General features: G+C 45.4%; 1 annotated feature.

Moving 5' to 3' along the window:
• Positions 6,472–6,621: a silencer, noted in NCBI's record as "silent region_17472". NCBI's record gives its function as "represses an Ori minimal core promoter by ATAC-STARR-seq in GM12878 lymphoblastoid cells {active_cell/tissue: GM12878}" and the evidence as "EXISTENCE:reporter gene assay evidence [ECO:0000049][PMID:35858748]".

Below are 7,152 nucleotides of genomic sequence, written 5' to 3'. Positions count from 1 at the left end.
AGGATTTCCTATTTAATACACAGTGCTGGGAAAACTGGCTAGCTGTATGCAGAAAGCTGAAACTGGATCCCTTCCTTACACCTTATACAAAAATTAACTCAAGATGGATTAAAGACTTAAATGTAAGACCTAACACCATAAAAACCCTAGAAAAAAACCTAGGCAATACCATTCAGGACATAGGCATGGGCAAAAACTTCATGACTAAAACAACAAAAGCAATGGCAACAAAAGCCAAAATAGACAAATGGGATCTAATTAAAGAGCTTCTGAACAGCAAAAGAAACTCTCATCAGAGTGAACAGGCAACCTACAGATTGGGAGAAAATTTTTGCAATCTATTCATCTGACCAAGGGCTAATATCCATAATCTACAAAGAACTTAAATTTACAAACAAACAAACAAACAACCAAACAACCCCATCAAAAAATAGGTGAAGGATATGAACAAACACTTCTCAAAAGAAGACATTTATGCAGCCAACAAACTTATGAAAAAATGTTCATCATCACTGGTCATCAGAGAAATGCAAATCAAAACCACAATGAGATACCATCTCACGCCAGTTAGAATGGCCATTATTAAAAAGTCAGGAAACAACAGATGCTGGAGAGGATGTGCAGAAATAGGAATGCTTTTACACTGTTGGTGGGAGTATAAATTAGTTCAACCATTGTGGAAGACAGTGTGGCAATTCCTCAAGGATCTAGAACTAGAAATACCATTTGACCCAGCAATCCCATTACTGGGTATATACCCAAAGGATTATAAATCATTCTACTATAAAGACACATGCACACATATGTTTATTGCAGCACTGTTCACAATAGCGAAGTCTTGGAACCAACCCAAATGTCCATCAATGATAGACTGGGTAAAGAAAATGTGGCACATATACACCATGGAATACTATGCAGCCATAAAAAAGGTTGAGTTCATGTCCTTTGCAGGGACATGGATGAAACTGGAAACCATCATTCTGAGCAAAGTAACACAAGAAGAGAAAACCAAACACCACACATTCTCACTCATAAGTGGGAGCTGAACAATGAGAACACATGGACACGGGGAGGGGAACGTCAGACACCGGGGCCTGTCGGGGGGTGGGAGGCTGGGGGAGGGACAACATTAGGAGAAATACCTAATGGAAGTGACGAGTTGATAGGTGCAGCAAACTGCCATGGCACATGTATACCTATGTAACAAACCTGCACACTGTGCACATGTACCCCAGAACTTAAAGTGTAATAGTAAAAAATAAAAAAGAAGAAGTCCTAGACTCCAGAACTGGGAAAGAATAAATTTCTGCATTTTAAAAAATATTTATTTATTTATTGAGATGTGGTTTGGCTCTGCTGTCCAGGCTAGAGTGCAGTGGCACAATCTCAGCTCACTGAAACCTCTACCTCCTGGACTCAAGCCATCCTCCCACCTCAGCCTCGCAAGTAGCTGGGACTACAGGTGCATGTCATCATGCCTGGTTAATTTTTGTTGTTGTTGTTTTGAGACAGAGTTTCGCTCTTGTTGCCCAGGCTGGAGTGCAGTGGTGTGATTTTGGCTCACTGCAACCTCCACCTCCAGGGTTCAAGCCTCAGCCTCCCAAGTAGCTGAGATTACAGGTGCGGCCACCATGCCTGGTTAATTTTGTATTTTTTTAAGTAGAGATGGGGTTTCACCATGTTGGCCAGGCTGGTCTCAAACTCCTGACCTCAGGCGATCCACCAGCCTCAGCCTCCCAAAGTGCTGGGATTACAGGTGTGAGTCATGGTGCCCGGCCAGTTTCTGCAGTTTAAGGCCACCCTGTGGTATTTTGTTATAGCAACCTTGGGAAGCTCATACAGACATGAAGAAGATGGTGGTTGGAGAGTTGGGGTTGATGGCGGGCAGTTTTTACAGTCTGGCTTTGGTGCTTTGTGATTGCTGTGAGGGTGAAGATGTCAGCAGATGCTAGAGAGATCCTACGGGGTGGACTTGGTGGGACTTGGCAACTCATCAGATGCTGAGCTGGTGGGGGAGGGGACGTGCCCAAAAGAGGTAAAGATGACTCCAAGGCTTCATAGCTGCTGCCTGAGAGACCACCTTTTTCCTGGTTCTGGGAATGGCAGTGCTATTCCCCCAGGGGAGATGATGTCGTCTGAGAAGATTCAGGAGTCTTGGTGTCTTCCTGGAGAAGGACTGGAGGAGGGAGCCATCCTGCAGAGTGATGAGTGAGTTTGTGGTGAGGAAATGGAGGTGGTGAGAGATGATGACTGATATGGTTTGGCTGTGTCCCCACTCAAATATCAACTTGAATTGCATCTCCCAGAATTCCCACGTGTTGTGGGAGGGGCCCAGGAGGAGGTAACTGAATCATGGGGAGCAGTCTTTCCCTTGCTATTCTCGTGATAGTGAGTAAGTCTCAAGAGATCTGATGGGTTTATCGGGGTTTCCGCTTTTGCTTCTTCTTCATTTTCTCTTGCCACCACCATGTAAGAGATGCCTCTTGCCTCCCGCCATGATTCTGAGGCCTCCCCAGCCATGTGGAACTGTAAGTCCAATTCAACCTCTTTTTCTTCCCAATCTTGGGTATGTCTTTGTCAGCAGCACGAAAACAGACTAATCCAGTGACTTTGCAAGTTTAGGAATGAAAGAGAGGAGGTTAATGTTTGCTAGGCCAGAAGGAGGCATGTTCTTTGAATGTCACTGTATTTTGGCTGCCAAAGGGCTATCTTGTCCTCAAAAAGGCAAATACTACTCTTTTTATTTCCTGCTCCCATCTCTGCTATAGCAAATTGAACCACGTCTCTGCATCATAATCCTGGATATTATAATCGTCTACCTGAATCTGAAACAGACAATGAAACAGGATTGGAAGAAGGCTAAAAGGAAGGGGTGCATGTCTGTGACCATGTCTTTGTGTGTGTGATTGTGCATGTGTGTGCGTGCATGTGCATGTGGGGAGGGGAGGGGGCGGGGAGTGCTTAGAAACTGTGCACCTCATCCCAACAATGCCCTTTGCCACACTTGTGTTGTCAATTTCTCAAGTGATGGCTCCCATCCTTCACCTGTCCCCACTCAGCCCACGTGATGATCATCCTATGGAGGTGTGACAATAGCAGTTGCCCACAGGAAGTCCTGGGCCTGGGTCTCCTCTAGTCAGCAGGGGCTGTGGCTCCAGAGAAGTTGGTTAACCACAGTCAGGGTCAGGGGGTACCTCCTCTCCTGCTTCTAGATCACAGCCATGGCTGCTCCTACTTCTTTCTTAATTTTTTTATTTCTAATGTTTGTGGGTACACAGTAGGTGTATATATTTATGGGGTACATGAGATATTTTGGTACAGGCATGCAATGCGTAACAATCACAACATGGAAAATCGAATATCCATCCCCTGATGCTTCTACTTCTTGTCCTTACTGGAGAAGACCTGTCTTCCAGTGTTGTGCTGTGTCTGAGTCCGATCACAGATCATTGTTGCTGGTTTTTTGTTTTTGTTGTTTTTTAGGAAACAGGGTCTTCCTCTTTCCCCCAGGCTGGAGTGCAGAAGCGCAATCATAGCTCACTGCAGCCTCCAACTCCTGGGCTTAAGCGATCCTCCCACCTCAGCCTCCTGAGTAGCTAGGACTACAGTCACGCACCATTATCCTTGGCTAATTTTTTAATTTTTTGTAGAGACAAGGTCCCACTTCTTTTCTAAGTACAACCCCTTGGCCTACATTCCTGGCACAGAAGCAATGAGCTGGTTAACGCTAATATCTTATTGTAATGGAGTCCTGGAGATCAAAGCCAGAGGATCAGGGGCAACAAACCTCCAAGAGCCTGAAAGGCATTTTTCCTTCCGGCACAATTTTGACCCCCATCCCTTGTTTGTTCAGACACTTCTTAGCTGTAGTATAATCCTCTGGCTCCAATTGCAGCCTAATGTCAAGAAAGAATTCATGCTTATTTATTAAACCTTTACAAAGAGTGGAGTTGAGTGGGATGAAAATTAAGAACATAATCAAATCAAAGGTTTAGCTGTTTTATCATGCATTCCATCATCCACATAGCCCAGGTCTGCTGATTGAGAGACAAGGGGAAAGAGATTGCCCCTCAAGCCATTGAGGCAACCTTGAAAAGGTGAGTAGGAGATCACTAAGTATGAAAAACAGCAGTGTTCAAAAGTACAGAGTTGTACAAAGTACCAAGTTGTAAAGAACAGATTTTGTTTGGAGGACATTAAGAAGCTGAAGGCTGGTATAATTTAGGCTGTGTTAGAGAATGCAGCCAGAGAGGCAGGTTGGGAATATATTATAAAGACTCTCTTCTACCGCACAAGAAATTTGGATTTTATCACATGAATGGAATTGTTAAGGAGGAGAGCTGAGAGTCCTTAAGTAGGAGAGCTGCTGGATCAGACTTTTATTTATAAATGACAGATTCTAGTAAAGGCTGGGAGACTGAAAGGTAAAGGATGATAGGCAGAAGGTATGGAGAGAAGGGGAGAACTGGCAGAACAGTGGGAGGGAGAGAGGGGTCGAGGCAGAGGAGAGAGTCAAGGTGAACGCTAAGATCCTGCCGGACGACTGGGTGGGTGGTAGTGCTATTAACAGAGACAGGGAATACAAAGTAGGCAGCAGGTTTGGCAGGGGAAACACATGCTTACTTCAAACCTGTTTAATGTAGCTGGGTGTTCTCCAGAAGACACCCAGGAGGTAGGGGACTTTAAAATAAGAGGTAGAGGCTAGGGACATTTAGCACAGGTGGGGACACACCTATAGATGGAGAATCAAAATGGACCCTATCGGCCAGGTGAGGTGGCTCACGCCTGTAATCCCATCACCTTGGGAGGCTGAGGCAGGTGGATCATCTGGGGTCAGGAGTTCGAGACCAGCCTGGCCAACATGGCGAAGCCCTGTCTCCACTAAAAATACAAAAATTAGCCAGATGTGGTGGTGTGTACCTGTAATCCCATCTACTCAGCAGGCTGAGGCAGGAGAATTGCTTGAACCCAGGAGATGGAGGTTGCAGTGAGCCAAGATGGCACTGCTGCACTATAGCCTGGGTAATAGAGTGAGACTCAGTCTCAAAAAAAAAAAAAAAAAAGGACAAGGAGCTAAGTGTGAACTTATGAGCTACCAACTAGAGAGAACTTAGAATGGGAGGTGATCCAAGCTGTGAGAGCACAGTAGATGGGAAAGCTTCAAGGAGGAGGTGTATGCAGACAGGCTCACTTGGCTCTCCTGCAGCACACAAACAGCCGTGGTGAAGGTGGAGAAAGTGCCTCAGATGGAAGCAACTGAAATCCTTCCTCCTTTGTTTGACTCTGCCCACTGCCTTACAGCTTCATCTCTAGTCCAGATCTGTTTTATCTTATTTCTTTACAGATGGGGTCTGGCTATGTTGCCTAGGCTGATCTGGAAGTCCTAGGCTCAAGCAATCCTCCTGCCTCAGCCTTCTGAATACCTAGGATTGTAGGTGGGATTGCTCCACCATACCCAGCTTCTAGTTCAAATCTAGCCCTCTCCCCCACAAGGGGAGTCAAGAACATGTGAGTAGGTTAGTCCACCTCTGGGCAGCTCAGTTGCTGCAACCTGGGAAGAAAAAAATATAGTCATATGTCACTTAACAATGAGGATACTGTAAACCAAAATTAAAATTCCAAGTCCCCCAACAGACTGAATGGACACCCCGTCTCAGCCAAGGGCCTTCCAAAGAAACCCAAATAGCTAGTCCAGGCCATGATAGGATGGGGTTGCTGGACATGCCTCATTATACACTCTCCCTTTTAAAGTTCACACACAGCTGATCACCATTAACATTAAAATAGAGATCTTAAGACTGACAGAAGTCTGGGCGCAGTGGCTCATGCCTGTATCCCAACACTTTGGAAGGCTGAGGCGGGGGGATCACCTGAGGTTGGGAGTTCGAGACCAGCCTGACCAACATGGAGAAACTCCATCTCTACTAAAAATACAAAATTAGCCAGGCATGGTGGCATATGCCTGTAATCCCAGCTACTAGGGAGGCTGAGGCAGGAGAATTGCTTGAACCCAGGAGGCAGAGGCTACGGTGAGCCGAGATTGCGCCATTGCACTCCAACCTGGGCAACAAGAGCGAAATTCTGTCTCAAAAAAGAAAAAAAAAAGATATTATAAACTATGTTATTATATATGTCTCATGAATATTACTTTTAGGAGCTAATTATTTTATTTGTTATGAAATAATTTATTTGAATAGATTATAATATATATGGTAAAAAAGTTCAAAATGCAAAAAAAGTACAGTTGTCCCTCCCCATTTACAGGGGATTGGTTCCAGGATCCCCTGAGGATACCAAAAACCTGTAGATGCTCAAGTCCCTTATATAAAATGGTGTAGTACATTCAGCATATACGGAGGGCCAAGAAGAAAGATGTCTCCTCGCGTTCCCATCCCTGTCTTCCAACCACCCAGCTCTCATCAAACAGTTCTAGTCTGCCGTGTGTACTTCCAGAGATATTTTGTGTATGCGCAAAACGAATTTACAACTACATATTCTTCCTTCTTCTCCCCCTAGTGGCAGCAGACTATGCACACTCTCTGCACCTTAGTTTTTTCACCTAGCAGTGTATCCTGGAGCCTGTTCCAGATTGCCTAATTAAAGCAGGCAATTGGAATAGCTTTTTATTAGAATAGCAATTTCTTTGCACACAACAAATGGTGGCTCTCCCAGGGGCATCCAGATCCTCCCTTGAGCCAAAATGACAGGAAGCAAGTGGCCCACCTACCACGTCTGCCCATGGAAACCAGAAATACAAACTCTGAGATTCCTGTCTCTTGCCCACAGCGTGGGGACGCTCAGGAGGCAGAATATCTCGTTAATAAATGGAGGCAGCATGTCCAGAGAAAACAAGACTGAAGAATGAACCCGAAATAAGGTTGCTTTCTGTCTTCTGCCCGCTGGCTTGTGCAAATCCAGGTGCTCTAGAAAACTGCCCCCCAATTCCCCAGCCTTCCATCTCTCAAGTGCCTCAAATGCAGATGGGCTGATCCAAGGATGTTGTGACCAGGGCCAATAAACATCCCCGTCCCCCATCGCCCTACCATCACCTTGCCATGGCATTTTCCTCCTGGGCTTCTAGAAATTTCCTAGTTAGCGAGACAGTCTCCTGCCCTCGCTCAATCCTCTAGCGTTTTAAGGTGTGTGTTGCCT

Source organism: Homo sapiens, chromosome 6 (assembly GCF_000001405.40).
Source record: "Homo sapiens chromosome 6, GRCh38.p14 Primary Assembly".
Taxonomy (NCBI): Eukaryota; Metazoa; Chordata; class Mammalia; order Primates; family Hominidae; genus Homo; species Homo sapiens.
The sequence above is the reverse complement of the archived record's forward strand: the minus strand, read 5'-3'. Positions and strand labels throughout refer to the sequence as shown.